General features: G+C 40.4%; 1 protein-coding gene across 9 annotated transcripts in view, besides 1 other annotated feature; it reads left to right on the top strand.

Annotated features, from left to right (window-relative positions):
* The window catches only part of CERS3 (ceramide synthase 3), a 144,289-nt gene that overhangs the window by 26,902 nt on the left and 96,063 nt on the right, over positions 1–21,324 (top strand). For 5 of the 9 annotated variants that reach the window (NM_178842.5, NM_001290343.2, NM_001290342.2 and 2 more), the window contains one exon: positions 15,932–16,105. In NM_178842.5, coding sequence (NP_849164.2) covers positions 15,933–16,105 — 173 coding nt within the window. In that variant the 5' untranslated portion in view covers position 15,932. Of the gene's footprint in view, positions 1–13,933; positions 14,073–15,931; positions 16,106–21,324 lie in introns of all 9 variants that reach the window. The other 4 variants (XM_011521357.3, NM_001290341.2, XM_011521355.3 and 1 more) reach the window with 1 other exon arrangement.
* Positions 4,212–4,412: a silencer, noted in NCBI's record as "peak2453 fragment used in MPRA reporter construct". NCBI's record gives its function as "represses an SCP1 promoter by STARR-seq MPRAs in K562 erythroleukemia cells {active_cell/tissue: K562}" and the evidence as "EXISTENCE:reporter gene assay evidence [ECO:0000049][PMID:32103011]".

The following is a 21,324-nucleotide window of genomic DNA, read 5'->3' as shown; positions in this document are numbered from 1 at the left end:
AACTAGGATCTTTGTCATCTTGTTCTTTTCCAAGGGGTGCTTTATCTTGCGGGGGCTGTAGGCTGTACAACAGGAAACCCTGCCTGCAAACATTACATAAGAAACACATTTTAAAATATTAAAATTTGGAGCTTGCTTCATCAGTGTACCTTAGTAACCCCAAATCCTTTCCTAAAAGTGACCCAGCTTCCTCTTTATCTGTGGGCAACAGAGAGATGTTCCAAATTCCTTCTTGATCAAGGTCCTACTCTTTTTCATAAAATGATTCCTTTGGTGGCACTGCCCAAGCAAGTTTCATGAGGTAAGAAATCCTGCTGTCACTGAGGAAATCACCCCGCAAAAGACACTATCCCTCAGAAAAGCCACTCCCCCACCAACACTTGGTCAGAGTGACCTAAACCCTGATCAGGGTATTGTAGGAAATGAGGGACTGCTGGCTGGCCATCGTACCACTTGGAGGCACAGTGCCATCAATGAGGAAATGTAAATAGTGACTGCAGTGTCAATGCCAACAGTATATAGGGCACTTGCCATGTGCCAGGCATTACATTAGGTAACTGAGACACATGATGTACTTTATTTAATCCTGATCTAGAACTTACAAAATAAACATAAAATGTTGTGTCTATTTTTACAGACTGACTTGTCCTAGATCCGTTAGCTATTCAGTGACAGGACTGACCTTCAAACTGGGCTTCCTGACTCCAGAGCCACAGTTCTAAGCTTTCAGGCTCTGTGAGGAATTCAGGGCTTAGAAAACATCGCTTACCCTAAGCCATGTAGTTGGAAAGTGGTGAAAGTGGCATTCAGATTCCCAAACTCCTTTTATTAGCAGGTCGCTAGGTCCTGGGTTCTCACATGTCTTGTCCTGGAAATCCTACTCTTGTTTGCTGAGGTTGGGAGGGAGATCTGGGCATTCTCCCAGGTGAGGCCCATCTTTGGAAAGCTTGGAACCACCTGACATTGCAACACAGCCTCTCCAGGACCTGTCCCTGGGTATTTTACTTAGCACAGTTGGTACCCATTATGTGGGCTTTCCTTACTGAAAGACAGCTGTGAAACCAGTTATCTATATCCAGTAGTGAGAGAGATGAGAACACAATGGGGGAGGAGGCTATGAAGCCACAGGAGGTTCTCCCATTTCTCTCTCTGGGGAATCTTTTAACTTAGTATTTAATTTTATTGTTTAAACCAGCCTGACATCTGATTCTTTCCTGTACCCAGTAGGTGACGATAATAAGATGAGGTTACTGTATAACGCTTACCCAGCACATTACAGTGTTCAAGTATGTCTGTATACCTAATCTCCCTTAGTCCCACGACAGGTCTTTGTGGTAGGTGGAATTAACCCCATTTAACAGGCCAGTAAACAAAGATTCAGAGATATTGAGTTGCCTGAGATCACTCAGCTATTAAGTGACAGGACTGGCCCTTAAACTGGGTTTCCTGACTGCAGAGCCACTGTTCTCTCGAAAGTTTTTAGGCAAGACTTACAGCTGCTTGTGGTATATGAAGTGCTGCATTCACTCATTTTGGTTTGTTATTTTTATTGTGTCCATCAATTGCCAGCTTGCAATCTGTATAATGGCCTTACCCACCCCTTTCTAACCGGATGAGTTGATGGGAAGCCAGTGCAGCACCCTTGAGTGGCACACAGGAGGTCTTTGCAGACACTAAGGCAATCCTTTAGTCTCTCAAATGGGAAAACTGAGACAGAACCAGGTGACTAACCTTAGGCCCTTTGTGACTTACTGGCAGCAGGTTCCCAACTCCTTTGCTCTGCCCTGGACCAGTCACTTGTGCCCGACACTAATAACAGGGTAATTTGTGAGAAATGATGTGTGACTCACCAGGCGAGGGAGGAGAGTTCGCGAAGATGGCCAGTGAAGAGGAGCAAGATGTTTATCAGCAATTGGAAAGGAAATGCTGACAGATGCTCCTTGGATTAACATTTCTCAGTTTTGCAACACCATTGCCTACTTACCCAGCCACCAGCTTACATTTTACATTCCTAAAGTGAACAACCAAAAGGTGGGGAGGGGAGTTCTGCCTTTGAAAACAGAACTATCAATCTCATAGTGTTCCTCCCCATCACCTTGGACCCCTTTTTTTGAACCCTAAGATTTACATTCTTCTAAGACCTATCTGTTCTGTGACTTTGCTTTACACCCCTCTGACTTCAGTCATACCTGTTTTTCTGCAAATTTCTATCCACATTACTATTCTAAGTCAACTTCCTGCCTCACTTACCTCCCTGGGTCCTGAGTGGGCCTTTGGCAATCTCTGTCAAGGTAATGATCAGGCCAAGATAAGCCCAAGCGGATTAAGGTGAAGGGGCCTTGGGAGAATTCCATTTTGGTGAGCACTGCCTCCTGGAAAGCCATGTGCTATTGTGTCTTTATTACCTCCACACTGTAAAGTCATTTTACAGGTAGATTTCAAGAGCCTGTCTTCCTACTGACTAAGGGAGTACACTTTGTATTTTCTCTGAAATTGTTAAAATCCAAAAGATTCCAATAGTTAGCTGTTTGTGTGAGTAAAATGGCTGTGATAAGTTTTTATGTAGGTAACAAACTTGCCTTACTTCAAATCAGTTTAATCCACATATTATCTGTGTCAAGCCATTAGCTTTTGTATATGAAACATTTACTATAAAAATTAGCCTCTTAAAAATATTAATGTGAAACAAATTACCATTTAGACAGGGGAAGCTAGGTGTGTATTGGAAAAACACTGGCTTTCCTGGGTTTACTCAGATACAGCAATTTTATTTCCCTGGGACTCAGTTTCTTCATATCTATAGCGCTGGGCTAGATGTTGCATGATTTTTAGAATAAAATTTGCTTTCACTGATTTGAATAATCAAATAAGAAAAGAGTGATAAGTTTTCCTAATGTTGAATCAGTGATAACAATATTTTAAAAGTTTAAGCCACCCAGAACTTATCATGTTAGTATATCAATTATTTTTTATGTTTCTTTCTAGTTTTTTTATACCCACACACATACATGTGATATGTATAAAATAGTATCATATAATGAGATCATATTTATCATATAATCATAGTATGATGTAACTTTGAATTTGGATTTTACTTTTTAATATGTCATTAGGATTTCTCATGTTGATAAATTTTATAATTTCTAACATTAGCTGGATATTATTATCTGGAGTTAATATTTCAAATGTGCTTAAACATTCTGGTCTTTAAAAAACTAATATTACTAACATTGAAGTGTTATTTATTAACTGTAGCTTTCAAAAATTGTGTCCAGTTTTATGTTTTATGTATATTCCCAGGTACACTTGAACATTTTAGTGACTCCTAAAATTTATTATCTAGTTTCCAAAAGGATAGTATCATTTGTGTTGCCATCAGTAACAGATGCATGTAGTAGTTTTACTATATCGTAGTTAGCACTGAATATTATTTTTAAATAACTTCTTCTAACTTAATAAGTGTCAATTAAAGAATTTTAGGACCTGGAAGTTTATTTAGTTCCCTTCCTTAGAAGGGCAATTTCATGGTATTTAATAGTTTGACTCCAATTTATCATTTAACAGACATGAAATAAAGCGATTTACAAGCATTTACCCACTTACTCATTCTAACAACCCTGCAGGGAGGTACAATGATCAACTCCATCTTGTAGATGGGGAAACTGAGGTCATGCTAGTTGTCCATGGGCACATGGCTAGTTAAGTGTCAAAACTAGGCTTTAGACCTGAGGAGCCTGGCTCCAAAGTCCATGTGCTTGACCGCTGTGGTATATGTATTGAGCACTTACTATTTGTACACTTACTGTATGCCAGGTTATGGAACCTTGGGGGATCTGGGGCTCTGGAAAGACTAGATGAGGATCTTATAGATGCTTAAATGGAGACTTGAGGTGAAGGGGTGAGCAGAGCATTCTAGGCAGAAGGAATGGCCTATGCACATGCCACAAGGCTAAAAAAAGAACTTTGACAGTAATTCCAGCACTTTGGAAAGCTGAGGTGGAAGGATTGCTTGAGCCCAGGAGTTTGAGACCAGCCTGGGCAATATAGTAAGACCTCATCACTACTAAAAATGAAAAACTAGCTGGGTGTGGTAGTGCATGCCTGTGGTCCCAGCTACTTAGGAGGCTGAGGTGGGAGGATTGCTTGAACCCAGAAAGTCAAGGCTTCAGTGAGCCATGATCATGCCACTAAACTCCAGCCTGGGTGACAGAGCAAGATCTTATCTCAAAAAAAAAAAAAAAGAAAAGAAAACAAGAACTTTGCCTTTTGCTTTCAAAGATTAGAAAGCAGACCCCTCACAGTTGCAGTATCACAGACTGAGGGGAAGAGGGGCACAGAAGAACTGGAAAAGTAGGCAGGGGTCCAACCGCCCCGGGCCCTCCTGCAAGCATCTCAGTTACAGGAGAGTGCAGGGAGAGGGAAGACAGGGAGCTGCCTCCAGACAGAGGTGGACTCATTTTGGAGAAAAAGCCTCTGACACAACCTTCCCCAAGTGGAGTTTCTTCTGCATACAACAGGAGACAGCAGTAGCCGCCTGGAGCATTTCTAAGAATTAATTCATTGGGTCAAGATTTAGGTTAGGAAGGGGCTGATAGATGGCAACCTAGATCACAGTATATTGTGGAGTTTTATTACAGAGCCAAGAGAAACACATCTTGAAGGGAAGACCATGAGGGGAGAGCTCTGGCTCGAAAGGGAACTTGACCCTTTCAGATGCCAAATGTCTAATTGGCATTTTTGAGGTTTATTAGTTTTGCTAGGAAAATATCCCAATTATGTTTAGTAACAGTGAGAAAGTATTGCCCTAGTGGAAAGTGACAGCTGGCTCATGGAGACATTAAATTTTGGAATCAGTGGGAGCAAAAGGGCAGAATCACATCTTCCTGAAACCTCAAGTCATCACCTAATTTATAAGCACAATAAAGTAAAGCAAACTCTACCAACAGTGTTAGGAGGGAAAATGAGGGGGCTCTCCCTTCTCATTTGGACTTCCGAGGCCTTTTTTGACTTGCTCAGAATACCCTCAGCCTTTGATATCTAGTATTAGAGTAAAGCACATAAAGATGGTTGGACTTTTCCATCAAGGCACACTGCATCCAGTCAGGATTAGAGTAATGGGAGATTGGCTAGTAACAACTCTGACGAATATAGGACTAGCAGGTATAAGAAGCAGTCACACCTCTGGGATATTGAGCACCCAAGGAAGAGGCTCCCCACAGGCTGACATGCAGACCCTCTTGAAAGGAGTCTTTATGGTACCAGCGGAACTTGCTGGAAACCAGCCCTCTGGAACTTGCCATAAATCTGCCCTGTAGGGTTCTGGGAGAGCTGCTCATTAGCAGGTATCTCCCTGGAGGCACGCTGCCACAACACCCCCAAGGGAGGTGCTGAAATCTGCTGGCAGCTGGGGGTTGCTGGAGCCCTTCACTGTGTGCCCCAGATCTCAAAAGCAAAACCCTTTCCTCCCACCATGTTGCTACATGACCCTCTTCTGACAAAGCTTCCTGACCAGCTGGCAAAGGGAAAATATGTAAAGGGATTGGATCCATTTTCCCCAAGCAGGCAAAAAGGATGAATTTGGAGTTGAGAGGCATTAACTTGACAACTGGCCCAAGCTTCAAGAAAGAAGCCCTGTAAGAAGAGCAAAGACTCATGATGCTCCTCTCCAGGGCATGTAACAGAGCATTAATGGAAACCCAGGCTCCCAGTGGACTTACGATGCTCCTCTCTAGGGCATGTAACAGAGCATTAATGGAAACCCAGGCTCCCAATGGACTTACGATGCTCCTCTCCAGGGCATGTAACAGAACATTAATGGAAGCCCAGGCTCCCAGTGGACTTACGATGCTCCTCTCTAGGGCATGTAACAGAACATTAATGGAAGCCCAGGCTCCCAATGGACTTATGATGCTCCTCTCTAGGGCATGTAACAGAACATTAATGGAAGCCCAGGCTCCCAGTGGACTTATGATGCTCCTCTCCAGGGCATGTAACAGAACATTAATGGAAACCAGGCTCCCAGTGGACTTACGATGCTCCTCTCCAGGGCATGTAACAGAACATTAATGGAAATCAGGCTCCCAGTGGACTTACGATGCTCCTCTCCAGGGCATGTAACAGAACATTAATGGAAACCCAGGCTCCCAATGGACTTACGATGCTCCTCTCTAGGGCATGTAACAGAGCATTAATGGAAGCCCAGGCTCCCAATGGACTTACGATGCTCCTCTCCAGGGCATGTAACAGACTGTTAATGGAAACCCAGGCTCCCAATGGACTTATGATGCTCCTCTCTAGGGCATGTAACAGACTGTTAATGGAAACCCAGGCTCCCAATGGACTTATGATGGAAAAAGTCCCTGGATTATTTTTTTAAATTGAGTTATAGAAGTTCTTTATATATTCTAGATAAAAGTTCTTTGTGTTGCAGATATTTTCTCCCAGTCTGTAGTGTGGCTTTTTTATTCTCTTAATGTTTCTTTTTTTGTTCTTTGAGATGGAGTCTTGCTCTGTCACGCAGCCTGGAGTGCATTGGTGTAATCTTGGCTCACTACAACCTCCGCCTCCAGGGTTCAAGAAATTCTCCTGCCTCAGCCTCCCAAGTAGCTGGGATTACAGGCACCTTCCACCACGCCCGGGTAATTTTTGTATTTTTAGTGGAGATGCAGTTTCACCATGTTGGTCAGCCTGGTCCTCAAACTCCTGACCTCAGATGATCCACTCAACTCAGCCTCCCAAAGTGCTGGGATTAGAGGCGTGAGTTACCGTGCCCGACCTTAATGGTATCTTTTGATGAGCAGAAGTCTCCATGTTTTACAGTCTACCTGGAAATAATACAAACCATAGCTCTTGTTTACTTATCTTTTCCATTATTTTCTCTGTATTATTAGAGTCACAGTCTCACCTGTTGTAACAAATAGAACTCAAAATTCAATGACTAAGATAGAAATTCATTTCTCTTGCATGTAACAGTACAGACATGAATGGCCCAGGGCTAATGAGTTAATTGGCTTTAAAAATCGCTCCTGTCCTGTCAGCCACATCTCCAGCTATCAGGAAGGCAGAGAGAAACCAGGACATGCAGCTTGGTCTTTAGGGAGATTATGCAAATCAATTCCACCCCTATGTCATTGACCCAGGCATAGTCACACATGCCACATCTGGGGAGGCTGGAGAATGCTGCCTCATGGAGCGGGCAGCCACATACCAGGTGTAACTGGGGTGGAGGCTGGGGGTGTGTAACTAAAAAGAATAAATGGATACTTGGGAGCATCCTGATATCACTTAATGACATCTTTGAAGTGATACCATATTTTTGTCACAAATATTCTGAATTTTTCTTTTTTTTTGAAACTCTATTATGAATTTCTTCCAGGCTTTAAATTAATATAATTGTTAAATTTTGTATAGGAGAATTCCTTAAAATTATTTTTTGTCTTGTAGTAAGTTAATTGCTCCTCTTCATTACAGTATAGGATATTTTTCTTTTTTTTCTCTCTCTTCAGTTTTTTTACAGTTATAGCCTAAGGCATTCATAGTTTTGTTAATGCACTAACTTAGAAACAGTAAATATCCTTCAAGGTTAAGTTGTTCTATCATTTGCATTGTCTTCTTCATGTGAAATGGTACAATTTTAAATGCATTTAGAATTGGAATTTACCATGGGCTTGGTCTTAACACTGTGCACAGGAGGTGCGTAGCTGCTAATGTTTTCCTTTGTGTTTTATCTTAAAGACATACTATTTTTTTTTTTTTGGCTGGGTTTGTAGAGCTGGTTCCAAAGAAAGCACAAACAGACTAATGTAGATAAACATGTTTACCCGACCCTTTAACCAAATTTTAAGAATTGTTTGACAACTAATAAAAATGAAGTTGTTTTTAGATAATTAAATCAGATTTTATTATTGGCTGAAGCATCACTCTTTGAGTGTTCAAAAATGCATTCTAGCCCCAGTAAGCTTTACATCCATTCATTCAATAAATATTCATTTGGTGTCTACTGTGTGGCCAGCTCTGAGTAGGCAATAGCGAGCAAGACAGAGAAGGTCCTTTTGTTACAGAGCTGACTTTCCCTTCACCAGAGAATGCCGGTCACCTATAACCTAGCTGGTCACCTGACCTTCAAAAGCTCTTGCCAACTCATATCCTCCAACCATAATAATGTTCAGAGATCGCGAATGTGAACTCAAGCGCATCCTTGCACTTTGTCAGTCAGAAAAATACCTTTACTTCAGTTTGACTTGTTTGCCCACCTTGCCATTTCTTGTTCCTGCTGTCTGTCTGAGAGAAACCTTCTGTTCTGTAGAGATAGTTTCTTGTTGCTCTCCTCTATCTGAGAGATATGTTCTGTAGCAATATCTTCTAAACTGGTATGGAATTTACAGTATGAATTGGATGAATAATTACCAGATGTTGTCCAAAGCCTCAGCTTGGATTGGAGTTCTTACATCAGCAAAAGTTAGACTGTCATATTTTTTAATACTTTACAAAAATGTTGCTTCAAATAGTGATAAACTTGTGGCCCAACTGGTTTTATTCCTTCCATCCTAAGTTCGAATGGAATGGCGTCCATCTGAGGAAGTAGCTCAACAGGCTTCATTTACACATTGGGTTCTATACCCACGAGGTTAGAAAAGAATGACCGTGAACCCCCTACATTAGCTACATTGTCTTCTTGGAAACTTTTGGCAGCTGAAGTCAAAAATAGGGCTTAAGAATTCCATAGTATTAGCAAAAAACACAGCTGGGGCTGAGATGCCTCATCCGTTACTATTGCTTCCCCCAAAGTACAAAGAAATAAACGCAGGCATTTTTCTTGCAAATATTTCATATTTTAAAAAATAGCCTCAGATTTTTTTATGTAAATAAAATCACAATTTCTTCTGATATTTTTACATGAGTAAAAATTGCAGAACTTAGAGAATGCACACAGGATGAGAAAAAGGGGCCTTGAGTAGCTGAAGAGAGAAAAAGGAACTGAGAATGACCCGGGGGTAAATAAGTACATTTGCTTCCAAGAGAATTCCAAGCAGAGATACTGAGGAGCTGTTAACAGAGTTTATTTTTAAATTGCCAGAAATTGCTAGAATTGGGTCAAATGACTAAAGATGGGACATGAACTAAGAACTTAATGTGGGCATCAGTGGGCTCCTGAGACTGACCGAAAAGTGAGTGAGTCAAAATCAAGGTCCTTAAAGGACAGAATCATTGCTGTGAAGGCTCAAGAATTTTTCACAGCAGTGACATGTGGGGTTTTAAAAACACAGGTATCTCTCCATCTCGATGTTTTGTAACTGTCCTTTCCATCTGAGTATTGTTGAAGTATTGCGATGCTTACACAGTTAACCCAGCACAAAAGTATTGTTCTACTGACAGTATAGGTGATATGTTTTTTTTCATCTACCAAGCATCTTTTTAAGGCTATTCAGGGAAGCCAGCAGCCTCCTTTACACGGAAAAAAACCACCTTAAGCAGTAACTAAGAGTGTCATTATCACATTTCCAACAGGAAGAACAGGGGCAAAAATGGGAGAGAAAGAAGAAAAAGAGACAAATGAGCAAATGAGTGCCCACTGTCAGCAAGATGAGGTCAGAGGCTAAACGGGGAGAAACTGACAAATGCTGCAGGCTGTGTACTTCTCAGTTATAAATCCTAAAAACAGGTACCTCTGCTACACTTACGGTTCAGACAACCAAATTGGAGTCATCAGTTTCTCTAAAGGAGGGTGTGGAAGATGCTGGATGTATAAGTTGGGGTTCTTGGTTGTAGGCAATAGAATCTACCTCTTTCTTAGTACCTTAAATAAAATACTTCATTGGAGGCAACTCACATCATTGAAGGAAGGCTGATGGACTAGACTTGGATGACAGTGGAAACCAAGGCAATCAGGAAAGCCAAGAAGCTGAGAGACCGCGACTATCTTTTCCTCAGCAGCAGTCACGGCCGCCGCTGCCTCGGCAGGATGCCATCTGCTGCTGCTGCTGGATAGCATTGTCTGCTCCAGATTCAATCCCAACAAAAGCATCTGAATGACCAGATCTAAGGTCAGGCCAATGCCAGCAGATGGAGAATGGCCCCCTTTGGCATTCACAATGGGAAAGGCATCGTACCAACTTCACACCTGGTGGCAATTTTCACTGACTACTATGTGGGCTGGATGCTGAGCTGGTGGCATGTCCAAAATGACATGTCCAGTACACTAGGATCAGGTAAATGTGACTCTGAAAGATCCCAGAGGTTCTGGCTGTGGATTATCACAGGCTGTGGCCTGAGAGCAGCCATGGTGAGGCCATGAGAATGTCACTTGTTTGTTGCTAACAGTCTGAAGTAGCAGAGAGGATTAGAGAAGAGTGACTGTCACAGTCTTCACTTCCTTTGTGTGTTTAGCCTCTGATCTCATCTTGAGAAAAGATGAGGCTGGCTGGAGGGGTAGCCTGGACCATTAAAGCCCATGCCTAGAGCTGAAATATTGGCTTATGGAGTCTATGACCACCCTTATCTTCAAGGGGCCATCATCTGGGAGAGACACTTCTTCAGGAGAGTTCAATTTTGCTTTTTAAAGCATACTGTTTTTTTCTTCCATAAAGTCATAAAATTTAAAGTCATGCTGAACTCTGAACCTGGTTATAGTCTTTATTTCTTTTATTTATTTTTCGGGGTTCGTGGATGCAAGCTTGACTCAGGAGAATTTGGGAGGTAAAACTTAAGCACCATAAATGAAGAACAGGCAGCTGCAGCATGAAATTCAGGATAAGCCATAGATTAAAAGGTGTAAAGGTTAAAAGTTGATGAAGCTGAGAAGGAGGCTTCTTAACTTTTTTATTTTTTTGGAGGTATAATTTACATACCATGCAATTCACCCATTTAACGTGTGCAAAATGCAATATTTTTTAGTATATTTACAGAATTGTGCAACCAACACCACATTCAAATGTTAAACATTTTCACCACCTTAAAAAGAAACCCTGTACCCATCAGAAGCCATTTCTCATTTTCCCTCGTCTGTCCCCACTTCTGCTTTACCTCACTGAGGAGCTACTAACCTAATTTATATCTCTGGACATTTCACGTAAATGGAATCATACAATATGTGGCCTTCTGTGTCTGGCCACTTAGCATCATCTTTTCAAGAGTCATCCATACTGAGCATGAATCTTTTCTATTTTCTTCAGTACATGCCTAGGAGTAGAATTACAAAGTCTTATGGGAACTGTGTATTTAACCATTTGAGAAACCAACAGCCTGTTTTCCATGGCAGTGGCACCTTGTCACATTCCCATCAACAATGTCTGGTGTGTGTGTGTGTGGGGCGGCGGGGGGGTCCCGATTTCTTCACACCCCGTCAGCACTTGTGATCTGTTGGATGGCAGCTATGGGTGTGAAGGGCCTCTCTGGGTATGGGTGTGACTTCCATTTCTCTCATGGCTGAGGCAGAGCATCTTTTCATGTGCTTATTGGCCATTTCTATATTGTCTTTGATAAAATGTCTATTCAGATCCTTTGCTCATTTTTAAACTGGATTATTCGTCATTTTTTTTCATTGAGTTGTCAGTGTCCTTTACATATTCTAACCACAAGTCCCTTCTCAGATATATGACCTTCAAGTATTTTTTTCCATTCTGTGGGTCATCATTGATGGTATCCATTTGTCTATTCTTTCTTTTGTTGTTTGTGCTTTTTGGTTGTTGATTGTTTGTTTGTTTGTTTGTTTTGAAACAGGGTCTCTCAGACCCGATGGCTCACAAAGACACCCCATAGGCTCACAGAGGAGCTGGCTACCAAATTCTGTCACTCAGGCTGGAGTGCAGTGGCCCCATTTTGGCTCACTGAAACCTCTGCCTCTGGGCTCAAGCAATCCTCCCACCTCAGTATCCTGAGTAACTGAGATTACAGGCGCATGCCACCATGCCCCATGCCTAGCTAATTCTTGTATTTTTTGTAGAGATGGGATCTCACTATGTTGTCCAAGCTGGTCTTGAATTCCTGGGCTCAGGCGATCCGCCCACCCCAGCATCCCAGGGTCCTGGATGTATAGGTGTGAGCCATCACACCCAGCCTGCTTGTGCTTTTGATATATAACAAGGCTTTGCCTAACTCGAGGTCACAAAGATTTACTCCTATATTTTCTTCTAAGAGTTTTACAATTTTAGCCATTATATTTAGATCTGTGCTTTGTTTTCATTTTTGAGTATGATGTGAAGAATGGGTTCTTAATACTTCTGAAGCTGCAATAATTGATGTTTGGTGGCAGTACATGAAGAAAGAGTGAAGAATGTAGATTTATTGTCTTTCTCAGTTTGGACTACATTTTCCAAGAGGTCATCCTCAACTCTTGAGTTCTTTCCATCTTCCCTAAAATTTTTGGCTGTTGAGTATTAAAGTTTCTATGGCTTTCAACAGATCTTAATCCATTGCTTACATGTAATGCACAAGGAATTGTTTAGAGTGGTAACCCCTACATAACCATGATAAACTATTTGATTCGTTATATTTCACATGATACAAAATAATCTGTACTGCCTTGAGTTGTGTTTTACAGGTGAGCAAGCTATTTTGTATAACAGTGATTATAATAATATTGGGGGGGAAACCTAACTCAGTGTCATTGCTATGTGTTCCCTGAGTCCTTATCTATTAAATTTGGAACCAATAAAGTAAGGAACATGCTGAGGCAAACTTCTAGGAAAAAAATATCTTTGCCCTTGCAGGAGTATCTAGTTGTGATGCAGTTGAGGAACACAGACCTGGCACAAGCTTTGTCCATTACAGAGAGCCTCTGTGGCCTCGACTGGTTTCTCAAGTCTGTAGGAAGTTTGAACTTTTGCTGGAGTTTGACTCAAAGGCTTGTGTATGCTCTTGTTCTGAGATGTTCTGGGCAAGTACTTCAAAATAGATTTCTCTAAATTCCCCTTTTGGTCAGTTATGTCAGATGGTTCAGGCAACCAAGCTTGAGTCCTCACTTATTTTACCAAACTAACCATGAAAGTTGATCAATTCTTCCTTCCTAACAGCTCTGTCAACAGCTCTTACTGCACCTTTGTACCCAGATCAAGTCTGCAGTCCGTGGTCACCCCTTCACCCCTGTCCTTTCTGTGTCCCCGAAGCCTAATCAAGAGGAAGTATCACTAAGTCTTTGTTGATTATCTTTGTTCCACCATATTTACACAACTTCGCAATGGTATAAATAGGATTCACTCCTCCCTCTCAGGGTAGAAATTCTAATAAAAGAATAGTCCATTGAGGCTGGGCGCAGTGCTTATGCCTGTCATCCCAGCACTTTGGGAGGCTGAGGCGGGCGGATCACCTGAGGTTGGGAGTTCAAGACCAGACTGACCAACATGGAGAAACCCTGTCTCTACTAAAAATACGAAATTAGCTGGCCATGGTGGCATATGTCTGTAATCCCAGCTACTTGGGAGGCTGAGGCAGGAGAATTGCTTGAACCCAGAAGGCAGAGGTTTCAGTGAGCCGAGATCACGCCATTGCACTCCAGCCTGGGCAACAGGAGCGAAACTCCATCTCAAAAAAAAAAAAAAAAAAAAAGAATAGTCCAAGGAAAAGGCAGCCTTTCTCCAGGGGCACAGCCTTGCAGGTGTGGAGGCGACTGGGTTAGCACTTCTCCGAATGGTGGGTAAGAAGTGAGATGAGGTACGGAATTATCTCACCAGGGTTCAATTCTTGGTTTTGGTGTGGATCTTTCTGAAGGACATTGGGGTCCACACTGTGGAATTCTTTCTCATCTGAAGTCAGAAATCTGTCACTTCAGTATTCCCCTCTTGTATCCTACCCTCTGATCTAGTCTTCCCATTACCCTCGGGCCTCACTCCCAACACACATGTCTTTGACCTTCACTCCCTTGAGTTTTCTTTCTTCCCCATCAATCTCACTTCTCTCTGGGGCTCACTTTATCCTCTACCCGATTTGCATCCCACAGATGGCGTTATTCCCTCTGGTCCCCACTGCTCTGGCCAAACCTTCTCTCTGCTGACTGCATCTATTGCTGTGAGCTGATTGTCCTCTAGTTTCTCCATCTCCTGAGGCATGCTTCACACCACTGCCAGAAGAGCTGCCAGGCATGTGCCCGGGTGAAGCAAAGTGGGGAGGGGGCTTGAAATCCAGTCCTCATTCCACTGATCATTTTGGGCTTGGTAGAGCTGTGTCTGCCTAGAGAGAATACCTTCCTCTAATCAGCACAAAGACACCCTATGGGCTCACAGAGGAGCTGGCTACCAAATTGACCTTTCTAAAATAGCTGACCATCTCATTCCTCTTCATAATACCCTTCAGTGGGTCCTATCAGCTAAATGCCAAACTCCTTAGCATGGAATGCAAGCAAACGCTCTAAGGCCTAGCCTGCTTGTCCCACCAGCATTTTAATGAGGGTGATCATATGATTTATTGTCCAAAGTATTCCTTTCAGAATACTTCTGAAAGGAAGGAAGAGCTGTTACTGATTATGCCAGGGCAATCCACTGCAGTGCCTGGGCACTTATTTGTAACCTACCATTCCACACCTTGGATTCATTCACTGTGGTAGTACCAACCCACTGGTAGTTTTCTATGTGCGCCTTGTTATTTCCCGATTAAGAGGTTTTGACAGAGTGATTTTGACAACCTTGTTGTGAATCTGAGGACATTTTGATTCCTTTTTCTGATTAAACATTAAAAGATGAAATTCATGCATCCTCAAGTCAAAATCCCAAGTCCAAAATGATCACAGCCTAAACAATGATATTAAAACATCTAATTTACATTATTCTATGCTCTGGTTACTTGATTGTAGTCTGAATACTTTGTCTGCTTAGAACTTGTATTCCTTCTTCCCCATTTTCCTGCCTTTCCTGGCTTATGTCCACTTATTGTTCAAGATATCTCAAGGACTTTTTCTTCCAGTTACCTTTCCCTGATATTTCCTGGTTGGGCTCAGTGCCCATCATCTTGTTCCCACAGCAACCTGTATACGTTTTTTAGCATACCTAAAAAAAAAAATGTGTTGAAGTCATGAGTTCAGGCCTGCCTTGCTTACGAGACTATTATGTCCTCAAGGCAGGAAGCCTGTCTTATTAATTGTTTTATCCTCAGTGCTCAGCACGGCTCTTCACAAATAACAGAATCTTAATAAATATTCCTTTACATAGACTAATTTGATCTCCTTGTAATATGAAGTGAAACGTGCCTGCCCCTTATTTCCTGGGGAATTTTTTAGGGTACTAGTGATGATTTGTACCTACCTGGAGCCTTCAGGACATTGACTTTTGGCATGTTAAAGTTGTAAAGCCTATTGTTATTTTTTTATACCATAGAATCATACACAAAGAAAATACACGTGCATAATATTCACATATGTTTTGCCAAAAGTGTGAATAGTGATGTGTTAAACTTGAGTTTTTCCATAAACAAAATTGTCCTGAGGGTATGGAAGAGTAATTCCTGTTTAATGCAATGAAGGATCATATAATCCATTAAATAATAGTATTCCATTCTTGCCTTATTTTCTTTCTTTCTTTCTTTCTTTTTTTTTTTTTTTTTTTCTTTTTTTGAGGTGGAGTCTTGCTCTGTCGCCAGGCTGGAGTACAGTGGCGTGATCTTGGCTCACTGCAAACTCCGCCTCCTGGGATCAAGCTATTCTCCTGCCACAGCCTCCCAAGTTGCTGGGACTACAGGTGTGCACCACCACACCTGACCAATTTTTGTATTTTTAGTAGAGATGGGATTTCACCATGTTGGCCAGGATGGACTTGATCTCTTGACCTCATGATCCGCCCGCCTTGGTCTCCCAAAGTGCTGATATTGCAGGTGTGAGCCACTGCGCTAGGCCTCTTGCCTTATTTTCTAAGCTCTCTGGATCTGGCATTTTGAGCCAAGGTGATCAATGTTATCCTAAAGTTACGTGTTTGTTTTACAAGCCTAATGTCTGTTTCCATTTCTCTAGAATGTTTTGGACGTTTAAAGAATGGTTCTGGTTGGAAAGATTCTGGCTTCCTCCAACAATAAAGTGGTCAGATCTTGAGGATCACGATGGACTCGTCTTTGTAAAACCTTCTCATTTATACGTGACAATTCCATATGCTTTTCTCTTGCTGATTATCAGACGTGTATTTGAAAAGTAAGTAGTACTTGTGTCTTTCCTTCCCATTCCCCCTCTTTGCTCTAACACTAGAATAATACAGTCTTAGGCTTAGTGAGATCCTTAAAGAATCTGTTGTTCAGAGGTTGCCACTAATGGGCCACAGATTCTGGGGATGAGTTAATGTAATCAGATGCGCTCCAAATGTTATTTAAAGGCTGAACAACAAAAAATTAGAAACATGGATCCCACTGAGTGCTTTAGTTTTATAACGAAGAAAATCAAGATCAAGAGAGGTTGCGGACCACAGAGCTTATTGGTATCAATGACAATACGGGAACCCAGTTCATCTACTCTTCCACGGTGTCTGACAATGCATGTGCATTCCCAGAAAGGCTGTGCTAGAAGAGTCTATGACTCAGGAAGCATTAGCATCCTCAAGTGCCTATAAAATAACAAAAATGGCTCATTAAAGTCTAAACCAAATATTGCTATATAGTATAGCTTATTTTAAAGGTTTATTTAAAGGTTTAATAGCTGCCCTTCGTTCTAAAGTGCAAGGAAATCAAAGAGAAAAACTATCAGTTTGCTTTCTCAGAAAAAGTAAACTTATTTTTTTCTTGATTTAATTTAAATGGATATTATTTCCAGCCTTTTTATTAAAATTGTACTAGTGTTATGATAACAGTAGATAAATGTTCATCTATAATCTCTGTTGTTGACTCTATTTCAAAAAGCTGTTATTAGCACATTAATTTATTTGGAGCAAAGAGAATATTCAAATGTCAAGAGTTGGAAAAACTTGAGACAAAATCTGATAGAGATCATTTTGTCCAAGACTAACTGTAATGCAGATCATATGTTTATAAACATTTGCAGGGTCCTTATCTTGAGAGCTAGTTTGACCAACTCTGTTTCATGAACTCTTGAAAAAGTTTTTGTACAAACAACAACTTCACTGGGGCCAACAGCGTGCTATTCCTATTGGGAGGAAAAGAAAGCCCCTGGAAACCACTAAACCCTGGCTGAGAGCATTTGAAAATGTACTTCTTTTCTGACAGTTAATTCTACTTTTTACTCACGTATTTGGATATGTCAAGAATGCATAAATAAAGTAGAAGAATTACTATCCTGAAATACTAGGTGTTTTTGCATTGTATCCGGTGATCTTTGAATTTGGCATCCAGGTCCATTACTTATTTCCATTGCAGATTTCCTACTTTTTGGTGGACAGCTCCATTTTTCACAGTTTGGCCAGGACTGTGAGCCAGAAACATCTTTAGGTTGCCAAAGAAGCACAGCTGTGGAGGACCAGCTTGTTACGTCCCTGTCTTGGCCTCTCCAACAACAATCAGGAAGGAATCCAACCCTCTCTTAATTCCTAGGACCATTGTTGCTTCTTCTCAAGGGATTAAGTATAGTCTATATTCTCTATTCTATCTCCTTATAACTTCAGCTCCCAATAACTCACTCTCAGCCTTTTCCATTGTGACGCTGCAGAAAACTATGTGTTGCTTCACTAATGCCATATCTCTTTTAATGCCATAGAAGGAAGGAAAATTTAACAGGGAGAGAGGTCATACTTTTTGAAGTATAAGTTTATGTTTTTTTCCAGGGCTTCTATATCATTAGTGGGAGATTGAACCACTTATATCATAAATAAAATATCACTTATACCTTATATTTGAATAGGAGTTTATAGTTTAAGAGCTACATAAAATCACAAATGGTGTGGTCTCAGTCTGCAGGTGTGGAAATGAGAGGTAAATGACCTGGCCAAGGTCACACAGTTAACATGTAAGGGGATGGATCTGGGACTCGAACCCATGAGCTCAGGTTTAGGGTTGTTGGTTTTTTATTTTCTGACTGTTTCAGTAATTCTTAGACTTTCACAGCGAAAGACTCCTGATGGCAGAAGAGAGTACACAAATGTCTCTTGGGAATACAGAAAGCAAGCTTAAAGAGATAACAGCAAACATAAAAATGTCTGAACTATTTTAAAAATTCATGTAAATATAACCCTATGTTTCAGCATATCCTGATATATTTAACACAACAAAGCTTCCTTCTTTTGTTCTAGACTGCATTTATGTACATCTTCTCATTCTATGAAGTGACCAAGAGTTGTGATTTGGCTGGTTCATTATTGTCCTTTAGTACTAGCCAAGAACTATTTAAGATCAGAAATTAATGTTTCTTCCTAGAAAATCAAGAAGAGAGAGACAGACAGATGAGAAACAAAGAAGCAGATAATTTGAAAGTAACTGACATTTACTTTGTATTTAAGATTTTCTTTCCTTGAAAGTTATAGTTTGTGTCTTATGTTTTGTTTTTTGTTTTTGTGTGTGTGTGTGGCTAATGTTTTGATTTTTATTTTGTCCAGACTACTAGTTTCTAATTAGTTTATCTTCTGTGCATTCTTTTATGTGTCTGAAGTGTGATTTAAAAGAAACCTAACCTGCTCAAATGTCAACACTCATGGAATAAACACATTGTCTCAGAGTAAATCATGGTCCCAGAAGAGTCCAAGGCAGGGGTGCAGGTGGTAAAATCAGAAGGACACATTTTTATTATTGTTGTTACTTAATTATACACGAGTAGATTCTCCACCCCAGCAACATAAGGTCATGATGGGGCAGTATGTCCATCGTTCTTTAAAGAAGGGTAGGGTAGCTGGAGTAACCTATCTGTAGCGACTTACATAAATTGAAGAAGTATTGTTACTAACTGTCCCAAATGGAAATAGTCTTAAAATATGCACATTAGACTTTTTCATCTGAGATCTACTTTGCTCGCAATATTTTGTTCACACATAAAAACAAAAAACACAACAAAGCAAAACCTCTGGAAAGCTCTGCTCACAGAGCCTCTGAATCCTTAGGAACTGGGAATCAATCTTATGCCAATAGGCTAGTGTATCTATTTAGGAGAAGTATTTAAATGTAACATGCCTAATATCTGCCTAGGGATACATTCCTTTTATTCCATTAAAATATTAAAAATAAAGGGAGATATGGGATGTCTAGGCTTTTGGTTCCCAGGTAACTGATGGGGTGCTAGACAAAGGGGGGGCCGTCTGGGTGTCTGAATGGGTTTGTCTGAAGGCTCAGTTCTGCAATAGTAGCAAACCTAAGGGACTCATTCCCTGGTAATTAACCTAACTTTGAACCATTTACATGGGAGCAGATGTTCATTCTTTTTTCTTCCTCTCAGACTTTTTTTTTCTATTCCATATCAATAAAATGAAAATTTAGGCAAGCTAGCTGGCAAGCTAATCTCTAAGTTTCTTTCTAGGGCTAAGACTTACAATTTCCCTTATCTCTTCAGTTCAATTTATCAACTATTTATTGTGCTTCTTTCTTCTCTCCTTCTTCAAAATAGATTTTTAATTAAGTGACTTTATATTCATCTACACTTTATTAGGTGATTGATTTCCTAGATTTATTTGAAAGGGAAGGATAGCACTCAATTAGACAACTACATTTATATCTATACTCTGTTCTGTTAACAATGTTATTTTTTGGCCGGGCGCGGTGGCTCATGCCTGTAATTCCAGCACTTTGGGAGGCTGAGGCAGGCAGATCACGAGATCAGGCGATCGAGACCATCCTGGCCAACATAGTGAAACCCCGTCTGTACTAAAAATACAAAAAAATTAACTGGGTGTGTTGGCACATGCCTGTAGTCCCAGCTCTTCGTGAGGCTGAGGCAGGAGAATCGCTTGAACCCAGGAGGCAGAAGTTGCAGTGAGCCGAGATCACGCCACTGCACTCCAGCCTGGCGACAGAGTGAGACTCCATCTCAAAAAAAAAAAAAAAAGTGTGTGTGTGTGTGTGTGTGTGTGTGTGTGTGTGTGTGTGTGTAAGAGATAGGTATCCAGTAAAACAAAAATCATTAAGTCTGTCCTTGAAGTTAACAAAGAGGACTGTAGTTCTCTTTCTTGTTTAAATTAATGATTTTAACAGGTATTTATTCCTCATATCAGCAAGGATGCTATGAATGTGTATATTTATCTATGTGTATACTTACCCATATGCTATTTCTCACATGACCCTCTAGAGAAGAATGTTATGCTTCATTTGGCTTTGAGATTAGTTTTGTTTCCTTACTGTATAAATCTTTGGTTTAATTCTATTTTGCTTTCCCCTCCTAATTTCTTCATTTCTAGCACTTGAGGAGATAGCACTGAGCAGATATATTGAAAACACTACCCTATGAAACTATTTCCAGTTTGTGTTGTTCTAATAGAGAAAAAAAATGGATGTTTTCTCCACTAAAATTTTCCAGCTACTAGGTTGGATAAATGAACTAATTCAATTATTTATCCAAAACCCTGTCATATATATATGTATTTTTCTCTCTATATATATATATACATACACACACACACACACACACACACACACACATACATATATGCTCTCTCTCTCTGTGTGTGTCTCTCTGTCTCTCTCTCTATATATATGTCTATATAAGAGCAATCTTGAGTGATGGATGACTTTTTCATTAATTCCTTTTTTTCCCCATGCACTACTCCCATTCCCCTCTCTGTCGTGTTCTGTGTATTTGGTGATCCTTTATTTGTATGACCCAGTAAAACATGTGCTTCATGTACAGGTATCACTTGTTGACACAAATGGTATTGCACTAAGACCTTTTCTTTCTTCTTTTTTAAAATTTAGCACTATGTTTTATGATCTCTCCACATTGCTCTGTGTACATCTGGGGCATAACTCACTTATTTTTATATGTCTCTGAAATTTAGGGGCCATTTTCAAGAGAACTTAATTCATCTGGAAGTTGGACTGACATACATTTAATCAGATTATCTTAGGAGAGTTTTTATTCAACTTCCATCGATATAAAAATGAATTTAAGAACTAAATGATCATTCATAACTAAAATTGTCAGCATTTAATTCAACACAAAAATTCTTCTTAAGTAAGTCCTAGAATTGACTGGACTGGCAGAAGATAGTACCTTTGTCAGAACTGAAGGAAGAATAAGGAAATCTCATTATTTTAAAAATATCTGCTTTATTGAGGTTTGATTTACATACAATAAAGTTCATCCAAAATTTGATGCATTTTGACAAATGTATACAGTCTTGCAAGCATCACCACGATTATGATACAGATTTCTGTCAGCTAAAAAATTCTCTTGTAATGCTTTCAGTTAATACCCTCGCTACCCACTAGCCACCAGCAATCACTAATCTATTTTCTGTCACTATAATTTTGTATTTTCTAATATTTCCT

The sequence above is a fragment of the Homo sapiens genome, chromosome 15 (assembly GCF_000001405.40).
Source record: "Homo sapiens chromosome 15, GRCh38.p14 Primary Assembly".
Classification (NCBI taxonomy): Eukaryota; Metazoa; Chordata; class Mammalia; order Primates; family Hominidae; genus Homo; species Homo sapiens.
Note: the sequence above shows the minus strand (reverse complement) of the source record. Positions and strands in the feature narration are given on the sequence as shown.